The sequence below is a fragment of the Homo sapiens genome, chromosome 1 (genome assembly GCF_000001405.40).
Source record: "Homo sapiens chromosome 1, GRCh38.p14 Primary Assembly".
Lineage (NCBI taxonomy): Eukaryota > Metazoa > Chordata > Mammalia > Primates > Hominidae > Homo > Homo sapiens.
In genome coordinates, this window is record NC_000001.11 from 85,265,250 (window position 1) to 85,288,732 (window position 23,483).

Below are 23,483 nucleotides of genomic sequence, written 5' to 3' on the forward strand. Positions count from 1 at the left end.
AGCTACTCGGAAGGCTGAGGCAGGAGAACGGCATGAACCTGGGAGGCGGAGCTTGCAGTGAGCTGAGATCGCGCCACTGCACTCCAGCCTGGGTGACAGAGCGAGACTCTGTCTCAAAAAACAAACAAACAAAACAAAAAACAAAAAACAAAACCCCAAACAAAACAAAACATTGACTCAATTATAACCAATGTGCCACATCAGTGCAAGATAGTATGGGAAACTGAGGGAGAAGGGGGTATTTGGAAACACTCTGTATTTTCTGCTTTTTTGTAAACCTACAACTGCTCCAAAAATAAAGTATTAAAAATATATACATATACATAAAAATGAACTAACGTGTTTTTGTATTATGATAATATGGTATCCCTGAAAAGTAACTTTTTCTGTGCTGCATTAATGAACTTAGTTAACAAATTGCATCCTGTCAAGTCATCCTAAATTACACACTTTTGGCAATGGCTAGTTTTCAGGGCTAAAAGGAAAAAAAATGACTTTGTAGAAGTCAAAAACCCACAAACCTAGCTTTATGCAAAGCTTAATTTTATTGTCTATGTAGTTAGAAAACAGTCTGAAAGAAAACTCAGTGTTAAAACTTATCTATATATAGGTGTTATTGTATATCTAAATTATAATCTTTGATTCAATTTTTAAAAAGGTGTCCACAAATTTAATTTTAAAGTCTGCTTCTGCTTTTTAAAGCACCTTCCTTAAATGTAACCTATTTTCTTTCTAACACCACTATTTTTGCTATGCATTGGAGGTGAAACATTTCTCTATAATCCTTAGAAAGTGCTTATACTAAAAAAAATCCAATCTTTAAAAATTTTTAAAGCTAATATGCCAATCTTCTTCATGTCGGATAAATTCATCAGTCCATCCAGAAATGCAACTCAATCTCACAACCTGAAGTAATGTTTTCTATAGATAATGGCACGTATTAAAAAAAGTTTTAGATACTTCCTACTGAAAATTTGGAACTCCAAAATAGCACTCACTACTTTAAAAAAATTTTATTGTTGATAGCAAAATTTCCATTTCTATGTTTTTGCAATTAATAATAGAAATATATAGGAGACAATGTCAGGAAACAGATAAAATTGTAATTTAAATAAAAACAAACAGTGAGAGCATAAGATTTATAAACATGTAAAATTAGTCAAATTTTGTTTTACAACAAAAAGACAAATCTGGCTAATGGCCCACTTGTTCAAATAGCATTAAAAACAGAATTGTCACACACACCAAAAATAATTTGTTCCAGTTATTTCAACTGTACATTGGTCCTCATTAAAAGAGAATGAAAAGTACAGAGAAAATATTTTTTAAAAATCTCATCAGGCTAGGTGAGGTGGCTCGTGTCTGTAATCCCAGCACTTTGGGAGGCCACGCTGGGTAGGTTGCTTGAGTCCAGGAGTTCAAGACCAGCCTGGCCAACATGGCAAAACACCGTCTCTACAAAAATAATACAAAAATTAGTGAGGCATGGTGGCACACACTTGTAGTCTCAGCTATATTACTTGAGAGGCTGAGGTGAGAGGATCACGTAAGCATGGGAGGCAGAAGTTGCAGTGAGCCTAGAATGCGCCACTGCACTCCAGCCTGGGCGATAGAGCAAGACTGTCTCAAAAAAAAAAAAAAAAAAAAAAGAAAAAAGGAAAAAATACCTCATCAAATTACATGTAATAACTGAGGTTTAGGCCAAGATATTTTTCTTTAGGAATGAAAATGATTAAGCCAAGAATGTGAAAATCCTAACAAAGTAGTATAATTAGTAAGGTTAATTAGAAATGAATTTTGGCAAACCGAGATCTTAGGTGGCTCACACTCCATCAAGTGTTCCTCCAGTATCAAAAAGAGGCTGTTTACATGCCTATACGACAATGGAGTGGAAAAGAGATTTTTATTTTTCTATATTGGCAGTTTTCCCATCAGTGACCGGTTTTATTACTGAACAGGAACAGCTTAATGCTGAAAATTTGCTGCTGAATGACTGGCAAAGACTATTAGACTCTTGAAAATTTCTAGCACAAATGCACTGAGGAAAAAACGTTCTTCCTAGTAAGGGTCTATTCTCAAATAGAGATATATTCCCTATTAAAATCAGTCTTAAAATAGAAAATATTTAAAAAAGTACTGAAAGACCTTAAAAAGGAAAAAAAGAAATTACTAAAAAGTACATGATCAACATGATTTACAGTTAGCTATCCTAGAAGTATGCTTTTTTAATTCTAAAAATCCTATTTACAAAGTATGCTTACATTGCATTTTAAAAGACATGCATCAAATGTAAACAAATGATTACAGCCATTTTATAAAAAGTCATATTCTTTAAAACATTTTTTGTCATCATTAAAAATTAAAAGGCAATAAAGTGTCATTGTCGTGAAACAGTACGTGATCTTAAGGGAAGAAACATCTCACTAGAGTTTGCACAAGTTCCTTCTTCTTCTAACTGTAGATCTGGTGGCAAAGGAGGAGCCCCTGGGTCCCCAGGTCTGGGAAGTGTAGTTGAAGAGAAGATGGTATTTTCAGTTCTGCCTACTTCTAGAACAGGCAAATTCAGAGAAGAATTAGTAGAAAAAAAGGGCGTCGTGCTGGATTCTCCTTCTGGATGGTACATGACAGTGGATGCCCTCAGTTTTTCAGAGAAATTACTCTCATCTGAATTTGATCTGGAGAGGTTGTTCGTGGCTCCATCTGGAAAAGGTTCACAACTGCTACATTTTAGTCCTACAATAAAATTATTCAGATGTAAATGAAAAAGTAACTAAAAAAATGGAGTCACTGTCCATCTTGTGACTTGTTAAAGATTACAAGCTAGTTACCCCACAATCAAAATTTAAATAGCAACTTGTAATTTCCGTCATAATCTATTTCAAATCTAATTTGCTTTTCTCAACAACCATGAAGTATACTATTATTTGCATTTTCTATATAACAAAATAGTCTCGTGGAAGTTAAACGACATGCTGTAATTCTCATTTAAGGTACAGCGTACATATAAACTTAACCACCTAAAATTTTTTATAAAATAAGAAATAGCTTTCACAATAAATATTCTTTAGTATTCTGGTACAAAAAATATTAGCTAATAAAAAAATGTAAACGGCAGATGCTAAAATTCTATCTGTTGATCAATGACAATGGCTAATTCTTGAATAATAGGATATTAGAACTAAAAGGAATTTTAGAGGTCACCTAGGATAGTCTCTTATTATTAAAGACGAGAAAAAAGGGCGGGGCATGGTGGCTCACGCCTGTAATCCCAGCACTTTGGGAGGCCGAAGTGGGCAGATCATGAGGTCAGGAGTTTGAGATCAGCCTGGCCAACATGGCGAAACCCCATCTCTACTAAAAATACAGAAATTAGCCAGGCGTGGTGGCAGGTGCCTGCAATCGCAGCTACTCAGGAGGCTGAAGTAGGAGAATCGCTTGAACCTGGGAGGCAGAGGTTGCAGTGAGCTGAGATCATGCCATTGCACTCCAGCCTGGGTGACAAGAGCAAGACTCCGTCTCAAAAAAAAAAAAAAAAAAAGAGAAAAAAAAGGCACAGGACAGTTAAGTCATGTCCAACATTCCAGGACTACTTTGTGGGAAAGTGAGAACTACAATTCAATAGATAATGTCCTGTTTCTCAACCTCACAGTTTACTCAAATGACAGTGGTTGTTCCCATTAGCTGTGGTACGAATGTATCCGCCAAAAGTTCACATGTTGGAAACTTGGTTGCCACTGCAGCAGTGTTAGGAGCTGAGGCCTTTGGGAGGCAACAGGGTCATGAGGGCTCTGCCCTGGACTAATGCCATTATCACGGGAATGGGTTAGTTATTTTGGGAGTTCGACTCCTTTTTCTTCTCTTTCACACTCTTGCCCTCCCTTGCTCTTCCATCTTCTGCCCTTCCACCATGCATGACCCTTGCCAGATGCTGGCGCCATGGTCTTGGACTTAACCAGCCTCCAGAACTGTAAGAAATGAATACATTTCTTTTCTTTAAAAGTTACCCAGTCTCAGGTATTGCTACAGCAGAAAACAACTTAGATACCATCAAAGAATTTTATGATATCCAAAGGGTATAGTTAACCATTATCCAGAGGATTGAAAGAATAAACACAAACACAATTTACCCTTCTGTTAGGCTTAGCAAATATTCAACCTACAGGCACAGAAACCCTGAGTTGACAATTTTTAGGCAAAACCTGCATAGTCTATAAAGGGCACTTACATGTCACTTCTTCCACTAGTTTTTCAACCTCACAGTACAGTCAGCATGTCTATTCCATGCTATACAAACTACTTTCTTAGATATGGCTCAAAAGGGAAAACTTGTAATGTGTCCCAGCAAGGGGACACTTATAGACTATGAGTTCCTTAAGGGCAGAGCCCTAAATTATTCTTTTCTGTATCCCTAATGCCTAGAAGAGCTGTAGAACATCACATGCACATTTATGTGCTCTGGAGAGAGACAGTGAGGAACAGAGGCAGGAGGGGGTTGGGGATTTAAATTGTGTAGGCAATTCCACACAATATTCCAATCAGTGAGTGTATATTCTGGAGTGAGAGTGAAATGGGACAGGTGAATCTGCTATTCTCTTAATCTGTTTCCATGCTTTCACATCTTGCCAGACTAGTTTAAAGTCATGAATATTTTATGCAACGTGATTCCTATAAACATATGCCAATTACTTCATCTTGTGATCAACTGGTGATCATAAGAAAAACTAGCAGAGTTGGACTTTTACAATACTTTGCCTAAATACTGTTCTTTATGTGTGATGTACAGTATTTTCAGAGCTTACTCTTGAATAGATTAACTTTACATTCTACTGACTTTAGAAACAAATCCTTATGTATGCAGGGATTTCATAATAGTTTTCTATAAATGGTATTAAATGAATACAAATACAGGATATTGAGAGATATTCCACTTTTTCAATGTAATAGTGTCAAATAAGGTAAAATAAGTGCAAATTGAATATAATTTTGAAGTTTAAACTTTTTGAAAGCAAAATGATCATTTCTGTTTTTGTTTTGCTTTTCTGAGACAGGGTCTTGCTCTGTTGCCCAGACTGGAGTGCAGTAGCACAATCATGGCTCACTATAGCCTCAATGTCCCAGGCTTAAGTGATCCTCCCACCTCAGCCTCCTGAGTAGCTGGAAACACAGGTATGCACCATCATGCCTGGCTAATTTTTTAATTTTTTGTAGAGACAAAGTCTCGCTATGTTGCCCAGGCTGGTCTCAAAACTCCTGACCTCAAGCAATCCTCCTGCCTTGGCCTCCTAAAGTGCAGGCACCTGGCCTGCTCTGCATTTTTTAAAAGCATTATTACATTTAAATTAGCTCTTAGATAATTAAGATATCTTACCTTTCAGATGTTCTAGTTTTATATTTCTAAGTTTCAGCACTTCATCTGTAATCTTCTGTATCAGGAAGTTCTGTGTTTTTTCTCGCCGAATAGATTCAACAAGGGTGTCCAGACCTTTTGGGTTTTCCTGTAAGTAGTCTAACAATTTTCCAGCCCTTTTTCTACTTGATGTTCGACAAGAAATTTCTTCAGTGTCTTCTCTACTGAGTATTTTTTTTGCACGTAGATGATCAAAATGTCTCTCAGCTATGATTTTCTCACACAGGTATACACGTAAATTTTCTAAGGCCTAAAAGACATAAAATATGGTTCAATGTTATTTTTAACATCTAAGAAAATCACATACGTGACTATTAGTTGGCAGTCTTAGCTGGTGTGAGACAATGTTCTAAAGTCAGGAGGCTCAGGCCTTCTAAAATGCATGCTAATTAAGATGAAAGTCCAAGTAGACACAAGTAGGTCCTAGACATTCCTCACTGCTTTGATCTCACCTTCAAACCTAAAAACCAAGACCAGGCTGTTGTGAAGAGGGACCAGCTGAATCTAGAGGGCCTGGGTCCTTGGAAACAGGGAGGTCTGTTGAGGGCCATCTTCGGGAGTAAAGATGAGGGCAAACACTACTGTACATTTTAGCTATCAGTTGGCAAGGAATGCAGAATTAGTCAGGACCAATAACTTAGTGAGAGGTCTCACAGTCTGTAACTTTCTCATGTTTGTTATTAATTACTCCATTTCCTTAAACTGTTAAAGACAAAAAACAAAACCCTAAACTGAAAGAGCCCATAATGTATCTGTCTTTGGGGTCAGCTGGAAAGACTACACTCTAACTCAGTGAATCAGTCTTGGTGGAAGGGAGATGGAAAGATGTGTGGGGAATAGGGAGTGTTCGAAAAATGAAAGAAATAAAGAAAAAGGACACCACAAAAAAGCAAACCTAGATTTGAGAAGTGCCTAAGAGCTTAATTAGTAGAAAATCCATGTTGATCTCAATAAATGGCATTAATAATTTGGTACCGGTGACTGTATTTTAGCTCCTCTATTTACTAGATATATGATCTTGGGCAAGTAATTAACTCCTCTGTGCTTGTTTCCTCAGCTGACTGTTATATGAGGAATAAAGATATGCAAAGTGCTTAGAAAAGCGCTTGGTACATAGTAAGTGATCAATATATGTTAGTAATAATGACAAAGGTAATGGCAGGAAAGTAGGCTAGGTGAAGGGTTCCTGTGGTTCTTGGTCTACGAAGTTCCACATTTACTTGTTTATTCACATGACAAGTATTTTACAAATCTAAATTCCTAATATGCCGAGTGCTGAGCACTGAGTATACAAAGATGAACAAGATTTGAATCCTACATGCAAAGGGCTCATGGTCTAGCTGGGAATACATATCACAGGTAATAATTATAAAACAATGTGATCGGGCCCAGAAAAAAAAGATTATAGGTCAAATACAGGAAAAGCACAGAGTGAGCAAATAACTATGTCCAGGACCTGGTCCTTATCATATCTGGCATGGACTATTAACAATAGAAACCTAGCTGCACTTACTACTTCCTTCCCCCTCCTCAACATTTCTCCTTCAGGAGAAAATGGAAATCTGGAGTATTATATGAATTTTACTAAATTTTTTTTAAGGATCTCACTCTGTCACCTAGGCTGGAGTGCAGTGGCTTGATCATAGCTCACTGCAGCCTGGAATCCCTAGACTCAAGTGATCCCCATCTTAGCCTCTTGAGTAGCTAGGACTACAGGTGTGAGCCACCATGCCCGGCTAATTTTTAATTTTTTTTTTTTTTTTTTGTAGAGAAGGGATCTTTGCTACATTACCTAGGCTGGTCTTGAACTCCTGGCCTTAAGTGATCCTCCCACCTTATCCTCCTGAGTTGTTGGGATTATAGGTGTGGGCCACTGTGCCCAGCAAATTCTAATATTGAAATTTTGTTAATTTAGAAAAAAAATTAAAAACAATGTTCTGCCCTGTCTTAAAGGATAAAGTTCCTTTACGTGGCAGAAGAGTAGAAAAGTTAAGGGCATGGCTCTAAAGTTGGATCAACCTCAGTGCAAATCTTGAATCTAGTACTCACCCTTGTGAGAGCTGGGCCAAGTTACTTCACCACTCCAAGCTCCAGGTATGTTATTGATAAAATAAGGATTAAAAACTTAACTCACAGGACATCAAGGAGGACTAAATGGGAATACTATATATGAAGGCCACGCATAGTCTCTGTACACAGTAAGTACTCAATAATAACTAATTATGGAAGACAAGGTTCATTGATAATATGGCTCCTACCTACCTCTCCAGCTTAATCTATCACTACCTTTGTCCTGAAAATTTATGCTCTACCTAAAACTATCTGTCTCTCTACATTTCCTTACGTATTTTTTGTCTGCTTTTATCAGACCCTAAAGCCCCTATTCGTCCTTTAAGATTTAGGTCAGTGGTCATCTTCTTTGGAAAGGTTTACCTAACTCCCCAGAATGAGTTAGGCACCCCGTCCTCTGTCCTTGTAGCACCTTGTGTATACACTTCATCTTTCTATACACCAGGACTCCACTTCTTTCACCTCATTTCCCAATTCATTCCCAGACATTTCCATCCTGCCCCAGTATTCTTCTCGAAGTCACCAATGACCCCCTTATTGCCAAATATTTTCAGTCTTCATTTCATTTTTCAGCTGCATAAACACAGTTGACTACTCCCTCCCTGAAACAAGAAAATTGTTACATGAATACCACACTCTCCTGGTTTTCTTCCCATCCCTGTGGATACAACTTTTCAATCATTTTCTTGTTGTTGTTGTTACCCTACTTTCAAGCTAACAATTCACTTTTTAAAATTCTTCTCTTTAAAGGGTTTTACACCATTTTTCTCTTCTAGCTCACAGCTTTCTAGGTAAAATCATTCAATTCCACACTTACATTTCTAGCTCAGATCTCTCTTCTGATCTTTGACTTTGCAGATGTAATTGCTGATCTGACATTTCCATGTACTAATCTAATTACATCCTCTTCCTCAACTCCCATGTTCAATCCATCACCAGGTCATATCATTTCTATTTCAAAAACTGCATCTGGAATTCTGCTCCATTCATCTCCACTGCCTTCACCCTGATCCAAATCACCATCCTCATTCATCTCTATAGATTCCAAGAGCCTGCTCACTGGCTTCCCTGTTCTTATTCTTGTTCTCCTCAGTCCATGAAACAGGCAGAGGGATCTTTAAACTATACAATTCTTCAACAAGTCCCTACTATACTTGGGGGGAAAAAAACCCCAGATACTTTACTAAAAGGCTCTTCATGAAAATGGCTCTAGCCCACCTTCCTAACTTCACTTCAGATTACCCTCTGCCTTCCTCCGATTTCCCCAAGTCACCAGGGTCTTGCCTATTTTAGGTCCTTGACAAATTCTATTCTGCCCAGAATGCTCTTCCCTCAGTTCTGTCAAATCTTTCAGGAATCAGTTTAAATATAACCTCTCCTGACCATCCTATCTCAAGTCGATTTCCCCTATTATTGTCTTGGCACTGTTTGATTCCTTCATAGTAATTGCAATAATGAAAACAAAATTTATTTATTTGTTTTAAACTAACGTCTCTGTTTGAAGCAGGCAGCTACGAGGTATGTTTTAGCCAACACTGTATATCCTGCACTTACTAGGGCACCAAGTAGTTAATGTTTCAGTTGAATGCAAAACTCACTGCACTTATTTTGTGATTTAAAACAATCCCCCTCAAGAAATTGAGCTCTTTTCAAGTTAGGATTGTGTTTTCATTTTTAATTTTTGAACTGTTAGAACCAACCACAGTATCAGCCTCACAGTAGCATGTAATCCATATTTATTAAACTGTACTAAATCCAACTAACACAATGAGGCAAATAACTAGATAGGAGGAGGGGGAGACACTAAAGAAGTGGGAGGTCCCAAGACAAAGGGTGGTAGCACACCATTCATCAAGAAAGGCAATACAGCAGCAACAGTAAGCAACTTTGGGAAAAGGATAGTAAAAGTTCAATATTTGACAAGGTGAGCAATCTGTAGGATATAAAAGTAGATTTCCAGTAGACATTTGGAAATAAGGACCTAGAGTGGAGAGAAAAGTCCAAATATGTGGATAATTTTAAAACTCTCTAAGATCAGAAGACATTTTGAAAATATCATGAAAAAAACCTCTAAGAAAAAAGCATGCACATAGTTTCTTTCATAGACCTTTTGAAACCCATCCATGGTTTCCTCAAGGTTATTTATTTCTGATATAGGCGTAAAATGAAATCCTGAAGACAGATAACATCAATGAATTGACAGAGAAGAACAAAGACCTGGAAGCCACTCTTCACATCTGTACTTGTATACAGATCTTATTTCCTTCCACTTGTAATTTCTCAGTTCCTGTTTTATTAGCTGTAAAATGGGAATGGCAATTATCTTCTTTAGAGGTTGTTGCGAAGGTTAAGTGGGAACATTGTAAACTGTGTGACACAGCATCTGGAACATAGGAGGCCTAGCTCTTGGAAGTTCAAGGTTTTACTGGCACTCACCATGAATAAGACAACATTTATTCTACAGTAGTTATTTATGTTCCATTCTTATCTCAACTAGAATGTAAAGCAGGAAACTGATCTTCATTTTTTTGTATCCTTCCAGACCCAAGGCCAGTGCTTTCCATATAGCAAGTGCTCCATAAATCTCTGTTGAATGAGGAAACTAAGCACAACTCCCAGTCATATCCAGTTTCCTTCTGCTGGTGAGTCACACCAATTGTGAGTACAGTGTAATAAACCTTACAGGGAAGAGGAAGGGATTTGAAGTGGATGAACATTTAAAAAGTTGCCATCCTGTCCAGTTCATCAAAATGACTTTGTAAAAGTACTGCAGTGTTCAATAAGAACACGTTTCATGTTGAGTTTCTGTTTTTCATTTGACTTCAGATAAAGTATTTTAGTGATACTCATATAGGTCTCATCTGACAAAACAAGTAAACGCAAAGGAAAAAGAATGTCATATCTCAACAAAGCCATTCGTTACGAATAAATATGAAGGTTTATGTGGTTCTGCACCATCCGAGAAGAGCATAATTTAGCTACTGAATATTTTCGACGTTTACCTGTACATTAATTCTCAGCTACGTGTATTCACTCCCCCAACCCCAATTTAAATATGTGGGCGTCTGCTTACTAGGGGAATTCCAGGTTGTGCTTTCAGCTGTTGAGCTTCCTCAAGCCCCCTTATGCAAAAGAGCTTCACATTTTTGGTCCACTGCTTGGGATCCTTCACCTGGTACAGCCTTCGCTCTAGGCTGAGTGAGCAGCCTAGGCAGCCTGACTTAAGGATGAATCTGAGCCGCCAGTCCCTAACGAAGCATCTCCAAGAACCCAGTTGGGGGGAAAGCATGAGGAGATGGGTGAGGAGTGGGCAAGAATCAAAACACCACTTGGCAACAAAGCCCAAGCTCTGCGTTTAGCGATGTAAAACCTGGATTGACAGATCACTGGAGGATCACTGCCACCAAGGTCCCTCGGATGCAGGGCTCGCCACAGTCCTCCTGTGCTAGGACTTTCCGCTCCTCCGACCTGGAGGATCCTCCTTGTCCTCGGACTCCAGGCTTCCGCTTTCGTCTCCCGCTGGGCTGCAGCCCGCCCCCGCCCGCCCTGGGCACAGCTGCGTTACTCACGTCCTTCTTCACTTCAGTGAGGTCCTCCTCGGTGAGGGACGGTGCGGTGGGCTCCATGGTGGAGGCGGGAGATGGCGCTTCTTCCGGGTCCGGGAGCTCGGGCTGCGCCGCCCCGCCCTGGCTGGGGGCTTCGGCCTCCGGGTAATGGGGAAGAAGGAGAGGAGGCGGAGCGGGTCGGGAGAAAGACGGCCGCCCCTTCGGGAACAGAGGGACTCGGGGGTCAAACCGTAGCGCTTCCGGCCCCGCCTCTGAGGTCGACGGCGACGCGAATCTACGCGACGCGACGCGGAGCTCGGAGCAGCGTTCCTTCCCTCTCGTAGAGGCTCAGGCGCAGGCACCGCCCCACGGCGAGGCGCGTCGCTTAGCAGAGCCCGCCCTGTCTCTGCGGCAGCCTATCGACGCCAGCCCGCGGGCCGATCCTGTTCCCGCCCCCGACCGGAGCCTTTCGGGTGGCTCCGCCCACAGCGGGCGTTTCCTCAAGCCACGCCTGCGCAGGTCGTCGGTAAGTGGCCCGGGTTAGCTTCCTCATAAGGCATCGTTTCCGTGGGTGGGGTCCGTCAGTGCCCAGGCAGCTGGCACTCTCAGCCTTTGCTGCCTGCTCACTTCGGGGGAGTCCGGTCTGGGCTTGTCAGTACCTTGGGTTCCTCCCCTTTTCCCAGACCCTGCCCTACAATTTCCTGTTGTTACGTTTGCCAGTTACTGTTTTGGTCACACACAAACGCACTCATACACACATACACATGCATACACACAAACAGCCTAACTACAATACTAAACAAATTTTTGAAAGAAAAAAAGAAACCACCTACAATCCCACCACTTTAACACCTCATTTAACGTTTGCATACTTTTTGGTCACTGTTCATTATAAACATAGCTTTTCCTCATTAGTTAATCTGTGTAATGGAGATAGATATGCTTACCTTTTAGGGCTGCCGGGATCATATGTAAAGTTCTTAAAGGTAGTTGGGCACACAGTATGCACTCAACTGATTATTTATTTATTTATTGAGACAGGATCTCACTCTGTCGCCCAGGCTGGAGTGCAGTGGTGCGATTCTCGGCTCACTGCAGCTTCCACCTCCAGGGCTCAGGCGATCCTTCCACCTCAGCCACCAAGCAGCTGGGAGTCCAGCTAGTTTTTTTGTATTTTTTATAGAGATGGAGTTTCGCCATGTTGCCCAGGCTGGTCTCAAACTCCTGGGCTCAAGCCATCCACCCGCCTCGGCTTCCCAAAGTGCAGGGACTACAGGCATGAGCCACCCAGCTCATCCTACTCAAACATTTATTGAGTCCTTACTAATATGTTCTAGGCAACTTATACTATGAGTCCTCCATTTTATAGGGGGAGACTGATGAAGAGACGACTATCCCCAGACCGTATTTTAACTACTATGGCGCTGTGTAAGAAGCAACCTGAGAAGTGTGGATGAAAAGCTACAGGTAGAGCCCTGGGCCCAAGACGGTGGCTTGGACAACATGCTAAATAAACTATAAACTAGATGGTATTTGAAGCTACGAGAGTAGATAAAAATGACAGGAGGACCAAGGAGAAACTTGGGAACGCCAATGTTTAAGAAACGGGAAAGCAAAAAAAAAAAAAAACACACACAAAAAAACAATGTAACCAGAGCCACAAAAACCAGAATCACAGCAAGGGATTCTGATGTTTACATTATGTCCTGTTTCCATGTTGACACATTACACAAGGACAGTTTTTTTCTAATTGCTTAATTTTTCATCATCTTCCATCCGATTTACTGAACCATCCTTAACTTTAGGATGAATCCTTTCATTTAACAAATGTGTTTTGAATGTCCACTATGTGCCAGACACTGTTCTAGGTGCTAGGAAAACAGCTGTGAACAAAACCAATAAAAATCTCTTTCCTCATGGAATTTATATTCTAGTTTATTTGTGTTTGGGGCAGACGAGGTAGGCACTTGAAAAATTTTATCTAAGTTTATTTATTTATTTATTTGGAGACAGAATCTCGCTCTGTCACGCAGGCTGGAGTGCAGTGGCACGATCTCTGCTCACTGCAACCTCCTCCTCCCAGGTTCAAGTGATTCTCCTGCCTCAGCCTCCCCAGTAGCTGGGATTACAGGCGCATGCCACCACACCCGGCTATATCTAAGTTATTTTAAAAAAATAATTAATTAATTTATTTTTTTGAGACGGAGTCTCACTCTGTTTCCCAGGCTGGAGTGCAATGGCACCATCTCAGCTTACTGCAACTTCTGCCTCCCGGGTTCGAGCGATTCTCCTGCTTCAGCCTCCTGAGTAGCTGGGACTACAGGCACACACCACCACGCCCAGCTAATTTTTGTACTTTTAGTAGAGACAAGGTTTCACCACATTGGCCAGGTTGGTTTCGAACTCCTGACCTCAGGTGATCTGCCCACCTCAACCTCCCAAAGTGCTGGGATTACAGGCATGATCCCCCACGCCTGGCTATATCTAAGTTATTTAATTTATTAGAAGATGATAAATACTAAGAGGAAAAAATAAAACAGGGAAGTAGGATGAGGCTGTATGGATTGGTAAAATTTAAGCTAGGGTGGTCATGACCTCCCTGCTCACTTTGGAGGAGTCTGTCCTTGTCTTGTCAATACCAAGATAAGGGATTTGATTTATGCTTAAAGGAAGTGAGGGAGTGAACCGTGTGGATATAAGGAGAGAGCATTATGAGTACAGTCAGCAACCAATAAAAATGCTCAGTGTAACTGGAAGGAGATGATCTCCTTGTGTGTTGAGTCATATGGGTGTGCTGAGTCAGACGGGAAGCCACTGGAAGGTTCTGAGCAGAGTGACATGATCTGATTTGTGATTTGAAAAGAAGCACTTTCACTTCTGTGCTAAGGGGAAAGAAGATGGAAGAGGGAAAACCATTTAGGGAGGTATTGCTATATCCAGGCCCCAGGAGGTTGTGGTTCAGACCAGGGTGGAGCAGTGAGGGTGGTGGGAGCATTTTGAAATGAAGCAAGGAAGCAGTTTGATTTCATTTTGAAAGGATCACTCTGGCTGCTAAGTGGAGAGTAGATGGCAGGGGCAAGGGCAAGAAGCAGAGACTACGTGGAGGCTACCACAATGTCAGGTTCACGACTGAGCCAAATGTCATGCTTGGGGTCAGGTTCTAGCCCATGCTGAGGTCCAAGGGGAGTGGGTGGATGAGCAGAAAGAACACTCAGGGGACCGTAGGCAGGTAAAAGATGATTTTACTCAGCAGCAGCTCTCATCAACAGCTTTCTTACACTAGCTCTCTACACTGTCTGCCCTGTCTCAGGTGCTTAGTCTGGCGGCTCCCCCACACAGCTGCATGGCCGACTCTCCCTTGCCTTCGGGGTCAGCAGCTTAACTCTTCCTCTCTCTGGGCATGAGCAAGCCGAGCTGTGTCCTGGCTCCCCACTGTCAGTCTCCAAGAGGGTCAACTCTGGCTCTCTCTCTCTCTCTCTGGGTGTCAGCACGCCTGCACGATGTCAACAGGGCAATTATACCTTTTACAGACAATAGTGGCTTAGAGCCAAGGGATGGCCTTCCCATGTTATGGCTACATAGCTGTGATAACAAGTGGAGTTATATGCCTGCGCTCTAAACTCGCTGAGTCCCTGTGGATGTTTACCTCGTCCTATCCTTGACCAAAGCACAGCCATGTTCCTTACACACAGCCATCCAGGCACAGCTTAGGATGGCTTGACCAGGGTGGGGGCAGTGGTGAGCACTCCCCACTGACACCTTAAATCCTTCCCAAGTGTTCATTGTTATTAAAAAATTGTCATAGAATTTACATATTTTCATCCTTTTTCCTTTCAAATTATCATTGCCTTTGCATAAATTCCCAGAACCAGGAGTACAAAGCCCAAGGAAATGAATATTTTATGGCTTTTCTTATATATGGGTGCTCTCCAAAAGGGCTGTGTTGGTCTATCTGTGTGTGGGAATGAACTGTTTTTACCACAGTCAAATCAGTTCTGCTGATGAAGGGGAGGATTCACCCATCAAAGCAAGTGAATTGAATGCTGCCAATTTAATGCACTCATTTTGATTTGGCCATTTTGAGATTGCTACTGCACTGTTGTTCTTTTTAAAGGAAACATTTTAAACCCACCAAACTATAAAGAATATTACAAACACCCTACGCTCACTACCAAGATTGAGCAGATACTGATATATTGCCACATTTGCTTGTCATGGCTTTTGATTACCAAATGTTAGTGGCAGACATCTTTGATTCTTGAACATTCTTCCATGCCCTATACATCTGAGTCTTTCTCTTTCCTTGACCATCATTTCATTTCTGACACCTCCAACCCTTTTCTATCCTCAGTATTCATTCCCTTATTTATTTAGTCAACTAAAAAGTTAAGTGTCTGCCCTATGTTAGAATTGGGAGTTACAGAATAAGGATCAGGGATTGGGCGGGACTGAATGAGGATTCCGGGAGTTTTTTTATAGCTGAAAGAGTAATATTTTGCTTTTCAGACCATGTGTCAATGTTCCCAAGATGAATTGCCTAGCTTAAAAAGCCACATCTGAATACCACGTGCTTAATCACAGAGCTCGTTTGTGGCAGGCTTTGCAACTCCCAGTCCTTCTTGCTTTCTAATGCATCATAATTCTTTCATTAGTAAACTAATTTTCCTCTTTCTGCTAAATCACAGGGTCTGGCTAACAATGAAGTTTGGGCATAGTTTCAAGAAAACAGCCCCACCCATCCACTACCTTGCAATAATCCTACTTCTTCCTCATCCCTTAACACAGCCTCCATACCCCCTTAACTTCCAGGTGCTCCATCTGCCTCCTACTGTGAAATAGAAGGCACCTGAGAAATGTGCCATGAGGGATACGGTTTAGGTGCTACAATCATAAGGCTGCATAACATCATGGTACAGATGAGATATCATTAAGAATGAGGATGTCTGATATCTGACAGACAGTGTATTAGTTTCCTAGGGCCATCATACCAAATTACCAAAAACAAGGTAGCTTAACAGATATTTAGTCTCTCACAGTTCTGGAGGGTAGAAGTCCAAAATTGGCAGTGCCATGCTCTCTCTGAAGCCGCGAGGGAGGATTCTTTCATTGCCTCTTGCTTGGTTCTGGTGACTTCTGGCAATCCTTGGCATTCCTCAGCTTGTGGCGGCATCACTCCCACCCCAGCCTCCATCTTCACATGACCTTCCTCTCTGTGTCTCCTCCTGTGTTTCTGTGTCCACATTTCCTTCTTTTTAAGGACACCAGTCACTGGATTTAGGGCCCACCCTAATTCAGTATGACTTTATCTTAACTTGATTACATCTGTAAAGACACATTTTTTTTTTCTTTTGAGACAGGGTCTTTCTCTGTCACCCACGCTGGAGTACAATGGCACAGTCATGGCTTATGGCAGCCTCAAATTCCTGGGCTCAAGCAATTTTCCTCCTTAGCCTCCCAAGTAGCTGAGAATACAGACATGTGCCACCACGCTCAGCTATTTTTTTATTTTTTTATTTTTTACTTTTGTAGAGACAGTGTCTTGTTATGTTGACCAGGCTGGTTTCCAACTCCTGGGCTCAAATGATCCTCCTGCCTCAGCCTCCCAAATTACTGGGATTACAGGCATAAGCCACCATGCCAGCCAAAGACACTATTTTGAAATAAGTTCACATTCCAAGTTCCAGTAGATGTGAATTTTGGGGAGATGCTATTCAAGTCAGTACAGCTGAATTCTAGATTTGCCAATTATTAGCTGTAGGATCTTGGATCAATTAGTAAGTATGCAATAAAGATAGTGATAATAAGAATTCAGAGGTAGGGAAGAGGAAACCATTCTGATCGATAAAACAACATGAAAGAGGAGTTCACCCAGTATTTAAGCTGGGTGGGAGGATTTTAATGGGGAGCTTTAACTGCTTCTTGGTTATTTATTCCATACTTCCTGTCAGATGTCAGATGTGTATTGAGCAACAAATACTATTCCAGGTGGTTGTGGAATTATAAATTGTGGATTATACATTCTCTGTAAATGGTTGGAAGAAAAAACTGGCCAATTCTGAGACAGACACTCTTAGGTTTTAATGACAAGATACTATGTGGTGAAATTCAGATGTTTCAGCACAGGGACTTTGTGAAGACTCCTGGGGGTCCTGTCTCTAGGAATGGCTCTTGGCTTAGGAAGGAAAGACCAGGAAAGTGTAGGGTGGTGGGCGTGGACCTGAGAAAATGCTCTGACAATATTTGCTAGTGTACCCCAAGACTAGGACATTGCTGGGGCTGATGAGGGAACCAGAGATAAGGGATCATTCCCTTTGTCTTCCCCCTAGAGGACTGGTTTGAAGAGTGCAGGCAGGCACCTGCTATGAGTCCTGAATGTTTGGAGGTTGCATACCTATATGCCAGCAGGGGGATATTGGAGGAGGGGCTAGATCTCCCAGTCTTACAACTCCCTGGGAAGAAATAATCACTAGCAGTTTATTTCACATTCACTCTGAGCCAAGCACTTTACATCTGTGGTGGGAATTTAATGCCTATAACAGTCCTTACAGGTAGGCTTTATTATCCTCACTTTAGAGATGAGAAATCCGAGGCTTAGAAACATGATTTGCTCAAGGTCATTCTCCCACCAAGTAGCAGAACCGGGATTCCAGTTCAGCCTTGATAATAAGGCCAGTGTTCTTTTTTTTTTTTTTTTTTTTTTTTTTTTGAGACGGAGTCTCGCTCTGTCGCCCAGGCCGGACTGCGGACTGCAGTGGCGCAATCTCAGCTCACTGCAAGCTCCGCTTCCCGGGTTCACGCCATTCTCCTGCCTCAGCCTCCCGAGTAGCTGGGACTACAGGCGCCCGCCACCGCGCCCGGCTAATTTTTTGTATTTTTTTAGTAGAGACGGGGTTTCACCTTGTTAGCCAGGATGGTCTCGATCTCCTGACCTCATGATCCACCCGCCTCGGCCTCCCAAAGTGCTGGGATTACAGGCGTGAGCCACCGCGCCCGGCCAGGCCAGTGTTCTTAATTACTAGCTGTAGACTGAGCTAAGTGCTTCAGGACATAATGATTCAGAGAAGCTAGGATGCTTGAGCATTCTCTGAATCATTATATCCTGAGCCTCACAAATGATGTATCTGCTCCAGCTTAGGATCCATGAAGGGCACTGTGCAACAATGAGAGTAGCTGAAGACTGGCAATGTTAACTAATGCAAGTCTCAGAAAGAGGAAGATGATATTTGCAAACTCCAGGTGGGGTTCGATGGCAAGCATAATTCCAGAAAATAACTTTTTTTTTTTGAGACAGGGTCTTGCTCTGTTGCCCAGGCTGGAGTTCAGTGTTGCAATCTTGGTGATGGCGTGGGTGGCCCTTCTGGAGTGGCTGCTATCATGACACTGGCTGCAGTGGGGGAGGCGTGGCCAGGGCTGCGAGCTCTACAGGGCTGGGAGGAGCCGGGAACTGTGGAAGCCCTGCCCACTTCCAAGTTGGCAGGGCGGGAGCCTTGTGCTCCCTGGGTGCAGCTGCAGCTGCCCAGGCACAGCTCCAGACCTGGACATCCCTGTGCTCTTGGGGGCCAGAATCAGGCAGGAGCCCTGCCCTCTCAGGCACAGCTGCAGCCATCCAGCCATGGCTGTGGACCCGGGCATCTCTTGGGGGCCAGGGAAGCCTCCCTGCCCCTGCAGGCTCAGAAGTACCTGCTCCTGTTGCCTGGTCTCTCCCCACTCCCGGTGCCGACTCTGATTTTGGAGCAAAGTTGAGGCCAAGCCCAGGCCCTCTTGCAACCCAGCCAGGTGTATGCATGCTCAGAGCAGCACTGACATGCCAGACCCCTGCCGCCTTGGCTCCCCTCCAGGCTTTGGGCACTGACGAGCACAGGAGGGAGGCTGAGGGAGCACTGAGGGTGGCTCAGCATGGGCCTGCAGGAGCCCCTCAACACAAATAGCTTGGGCAGTGGCAGGAGGCAGACAAGCTCCTGGGCAGAAAGGGGCAGGTCCCTGGTGAAGCCTCACCTTCAAGCCAGGGATGGCCTAAAGCCTGGTGGTGGGGCTGATGGGCCAGAATGGGAACTTATGGTGCTATTTTCAGGCCCACCCATTGCCACCCGTGAACCAATCAGCATGTACTTCCTCCCCTCTGAAGCCCATAAAAACCCCTGGACTCAGCCAGACTCCGATGACCAGATGACCTGCCTTTGGAGAGGAGCTACCTGCTCCAGGATCTCCTCTCTGCTGAGAGCTGGGCATAAGTTGGGACTACCAGCTGCAGAGAGGAGCTGCCCACTCTAGGGTCTCCTCTGCTGAGAGCTGAACACTGTTGGGACAACCTGCCTGTGGAGAGGAGCTGCCTACTCTAGGGTCTCCTCTGCTGAGAGCTGAACACTATTGGGACAACCTGCCTGTGGAGAGGAGCTACCCACTGTGGTTTCCTCTAAGCTGTTCTGTCACTCAATCAAACTCCTCTTTGACTTGCTCACCCTCCACTTGTCTGCGTACCTCATTCTTCCTAGACACAGGACAAGAACTTGGGATGCGCTGAATGCCTGGGCTAAAAGAGCTATAACACAAATGGGTCTGAAATACACCCCTTGCTTACCACGTTGTGGGCAACAAGAAGGAGAGAGAGCTGCAGCCCTTCTGGGAGCCCAGACCTAGGAGCTCCCCAAGCCAGGGCTGTAACACCCTCTCTGGGGCTCTGTGGTTCCCGGCATCTCCAAGCTTCCAAGTTCCACTGCGTTCCTCAGTGCCAGCCATGGAAGCTGCTTGTGGTCCACCTGGTCCAGCCACAGCCTCACAGGGAGCTGGCGCCTGTGCTGGTGCTTGGAACTGCCTGCCCCACCACAGCCAGTGTGCCTGGCTGTGCTCAGTGGCCGGGCACCATGCTTGCTCACTCACACACCCCTTGCTGCTCTGTGCCTGGCTCTCCCTTGGCAGGCATGAGATTCAGGCCAGTAGTGCAAGCTGAGCACAGCCTGCCAGGCTGATTGGGTGGAACAAGCCCAGCGGGCCTAAGTAAAAACTCAGGGAAAAGCGCCACTGGCCACACAGGTTTCCGGCTGGTGAAGTGACACCCACAGGATCCCATGACATCAGCTCACTGCAGCCTCAACCTCCTGGACTCAAGTGATCCTCCCACCTCAGCCTCCCAAGGTGCTGGGACTACAGGCATGCACCACCATGCCCAGCTAATTTTTGTATTTTTTTGTAGAGATGGGGTTTCACCATATTGCCCAGGCTAGTCTTGAACTCCTGGGCTCAAGTGATCCACCTGCCTTGGTCCCCCAAAATGCTGGGATTACAGGCATGAGCCACTGTGCCCAGCCTCAGAAAAGAATATTAAAGGAGTAGCTCTTGAAAGCCTAGAGTGGGAACATCTAGGCTTTCAAGAGCTACTCCTTTAATATTCTTTGAGGGTGACATCCCTCAAAATCAATCATTTCCCTTCCCATTCCCATGACTGGAGTCAGTGGTTCTCAGTCTAGGCTATTTAATAGAATCACTTGGGAATGGACATCCAAGTCCCACCTAGATCAATTTAAAAAATTCTTTGGAAAAATCCAAAGTGAAGGGAGGAGGATGTGTGCCTGCTAGCTATAAGTACTGAGCTGTTACTTCCACCATCGTCTCTATTGCTTTCCAAAGCCCAGCCCTCTCACTGGGGAGAAGCCATGGTTTTAGTGTATGTGCCAGAGAATTTCCTCCATTTAAAGGAGGTATTTGCTGCTAAGGGGACACTGTATATAGAAAGACCAAGAATGGAATATGAATAAGAAGAGGTGCCTTCACTCTCAAAGATCACAGAAGCAAACAGAGCTATGTCTTGGAAATATGAAGGAAAGGCCTGTATTCCAGACTAGCCCCAAGGGTGTGGGGTCAGAGAAAATTTCTTCAAGCAGTTCTGGAGGCTGAAAGTCCAAGATCAAAGCACCGGCATTTGGTGTCTGGTGAGGGCTGCGCTCTGCTTCCAAGATGATGCCTTATTGCTGCATTCTTCAGAGAGGAGAAATGCTAAGTTTTCATATGGTGGAAGGTAGAAAAAGAGCAAGAGGAATGAATTCGTTACATGAAGCCATTTTATAAAAGCACTAATTCTATTCCTAAGGGAGGGGCCCTCATGGCCTAATCACTTTTTAAAAGCCCCACCTCTTAATACTGTCATATTGGCAACACCTGAATTTTGAAGATACCCATTCAAACCATAACACTTGTTTTATATATATTTAAATTGTTCTTTAATAAAATATTTTACCTAACAAAAATTCTGTGGAAGCCAAAGCAGTGGTAGTTATTATCTTTGTGATAACAGTTTTATTGAGATATAATATACATACCATACAATTTAAGTATACGTTTATACATATACAATTTAAAGTATACAATTCAGTGGTTTTAAGTATATTCACAGAGTTCTACAACCATCACCACAATCAATTTCAGAATATTTCATCACTCCAAAAAGATAGTTGTATCTGTAGCCACCACCCCTAATCCTCTCATCTTTCTTATCCCTAGACAACCATTAGTCTACTTTCTATTGCTATAGATTTGCCATACTGAACATTTAATATAAATGGAATGATAACAATATATGGCCTTTTGTGTCTGGCTTCTTTCACTTAACAATGTTTTCAAGGTTCATCCATGCTGTAGCACAAATCAGTACTTCATTTCTTTTTATGGCTGAATAATATTCCATTGTATAAATATGTCACATTTTGTTTATGCAATCATCAATTGAGAGAGATTTGGATTAATTCCACATATTTTTGGCCATTATGAATAATGCTATTCATATGGCTATATGGCTGTTATGAATAATATTATAAAAATTCATTTGCAAATTGGGACATCTAGTTCCTCCCCCAGTATTCGCCAGCTGGTATATAGGGATGTGGCCTTCAGACATTTGAACTTGGGTCTTCATTTCTCTTGGGTATATACCTAGGAGTGAAATGACTGGGTCGCGTGGTAACGATATTTAATTTCTCGAGGAGCAGTGGTAGTTTTAAAACTTCCCAGTTGATTCTAATGCAGATCCAGGGCTGAAAAGCAGTGATCTCAACGAATGGTGAAACTCAGAAACGCACACTCTTGACAGCTTCAGGGAGACATTTACAGGGTCCTTCTTAAGCCTTGGGGGTCCATGTGGAACAATGAGATTGGTTCGCAACTGGCTTTCCTGCCATACCCAAGACACAGTGATTGCCATCAGTATGCAGGGAAATGTATCTTAATGCTCTGCTCTCACCTCTATTTGATTCAACATTTATAATAATGACTTGTGGGATGAATATCTGGAACAGGGGTTTTCAAATGTTTTTCTAACTGTGCAACCCTTTCTTCCAATAAAATTCTCTGTGGAAACTAAACTCAAGGCTCTGTCTACCGGGTCTGTAGAAGTTTTCTGTCTTGCCCACCCACCCTGCCCCACTACTTCTGAGTCCTTCCTCAAAGCACCAAGGGCTTTATAGAGCATTGTTTGAAAGCCACTTATCCAGAAAGTATTTTTATTAATTTGTGGATAACCCCAAACTGAAAATATAAAATGATTTTTAAAAAATTAATTTTATTTTATTTTAAGTTCCAGGATACATGTGCCAGATGTGTAGGTTTGTCACATAGGTAGACATGTGCCATGGTGGTTTGCTGCACCTATTGACCTATCACCTAGGTTATAAAAAAATTTTAATGTCAGAGTCAATATAAGGTAAACAAAACAAAACAAAACAAAACCTAAACTTCTCTAGAGTGAGCTGCATTGGGAAGTAATGTTTTCTTTCCTGCAAGGTATTCAAGCAAGCACAACCCAAACTATATATGTGTGTGTGTGTGTGTGTGTGTGTGTGTGTGTTTTGTGGTGAGGGAGTCATAGAAGGTAATTAAAAAATGAGAAGGTGGCTGGGCATGGTGGCTCATGCCTGTAATCCCAGTGCTTTGGGAGGCCAAGGCAGGAGAATCACCTGAGGCCAGGAGTTTGAGACCAGCCTGGGCAACATAATGAGACCCTGTCTGCACCTGTAGTCCTAGCTACTTGGGAGGCTGAAGCAGGAAGGTTCCTTGAGCCCAGGAGTTAAAGGCTACCGTGATTATGATTGCGCCACTGCACTCCTGCCTGGGTGACAGGGCAAGACTCTGTCTCTTAAAAAACCCCTCAAAAGCCAGAAGGTGATGTGATTGGTCTAGTGATTTTTATTTTTCTTTGAGACGAGGTCTCACTCCATCACCCAGGCTGGAGTGCAGTGGTGTGAATAAGGCTCACTGCAGCCTTGACCTCCTGGGCTCCAGTGATTCTCCTGCCTTAGCCTCCCATGTAGCTGGGACCACAGGTGCACACCACCATGCCCAGGTAATTTTTTTGATTTTTTGTAGAGATGGGGGTCTCACTTTGTTGCCTCGGCTGGTCTTGAACTCCTGGGCTCAAGCGATCCTTCTGCCTTGACCTTCCAAAGTGCTGGGATTATAGGCATGAGCCATGGTGC

General features: G+C 42.9%; 1 protein-coding gene and 1 long non-coding RNA gene across 6 annotated transcripts, besides 4 other annotated features; one reads left to right on the forward strand and one right to left on the reverse strand.

The window, feature by feature from the left end:
* Positions 527 to 11,383, reverse strand: BCL10 (BCL10 immune signaling adaptor). Of its 5 annotated transcripts, none has more exons than NM_001320715.2 (3): positions 11,047 to 11,383; positions 5,369 to 5,657; positions 527 to 2,700 (listed from the first exon to the last, which is right to left on the reverse strand). In NM_001320715.2, exons 1-3 carry the CDS (start codon positions 11,101 to 11,103, stop codon positions 2,378 to 2,380), a joined length of 669 nt encoding a protein of 222 aa, NP_001307644.1. In that variant the 5' UTR covers positions 11,104 to 11,383; the 3' UTR covers positions 527 to 2,377. The 5 variants fall into 5 exon arrangements, with proteins under 5 accessions (NP_001307644.1, NP_003912.1, XP_011540699.1 ...); NM_003921.5 differs by having other exon boundaries at positions 527 to 2,733; XM_011542397.4 differs by having other exon boundaries at positions 527 to 2,733; positions 10,551 to 11,383.
* Positions 10,576 to 11,775: an enhancer, noted in NCBI's record as "CDK7 strongly-dependent group 2 enhancer chr1:85741508-85742707 (GRCh37/hg19 assembly coordinates)". NCBI's record gives its function as "activates an origin of replication core promoter dependent on BRD2, BRD4, P300/CBP, MED14 and CDK7 cofactors, with strong dependence on CDK7, by STARR-seq in HCT116 cells {active_cell/tissue: HCT116}" and the evidence as "EXISTENCE:reporter gene assay evidence [ECO:0000049][PMID:35650434]".
* Positions 10,981 to 11,683: an enhancer, noted in NCBI's record as "H3K27ac hESC enhancer chr1:85741913-85742615 (GRCh37/hg19 assembly coordinates)". NCBI's record gives its function as "activates a minimal SCP1, AML or CMV promoter by ChIP-STARR-seq in primed H9 embryonic stem cells {active_cell/tissue: H9 hESC(primed)}" and the evidence as "EXISTENCE:reporter gene assay evidence [ECO:0000049][PMID:30033119]".
* BCL10-AS1 (BCL10 antisense RNA 1) lies at positions 11,109 to 12,839 on the forward strand. Its single transcript, NR_045484.1, has 2 exons — positions 11,109 to 11,548; positions 12,392 to 12,839. It is a non-coding gene; the product is annotated as a BCL10 antisense RNA 1 (long non-coding RNA).
* Positions 14,092 to 14,201: an enhancer, noted in NCBI's record as "active region_1268". NCBI's record gives its function as "activates an Ori minimal core promoter by ATAC-STARR-seq in GM12878 lymphoblastoid cells {active_cell/tissue: GM12878}" and the evidence as "EXISTENCE:reporter gene assay evidence [ECO:0000049][PMID:35858748]".
* Positions 14,392 to 14,451: an enhancer, noted in NCBI's record as "active region_1269". NCBI's record gives its function as "activates an Ori minimal core promoter by ATAC-STARR-seq in GM12878 lymphoblastoid cells {active_cell/tissue: GM12878}" and the evidence as "EXISTENCE:reporter gene assay evidence [ECO:0000049][PMID:35858748]".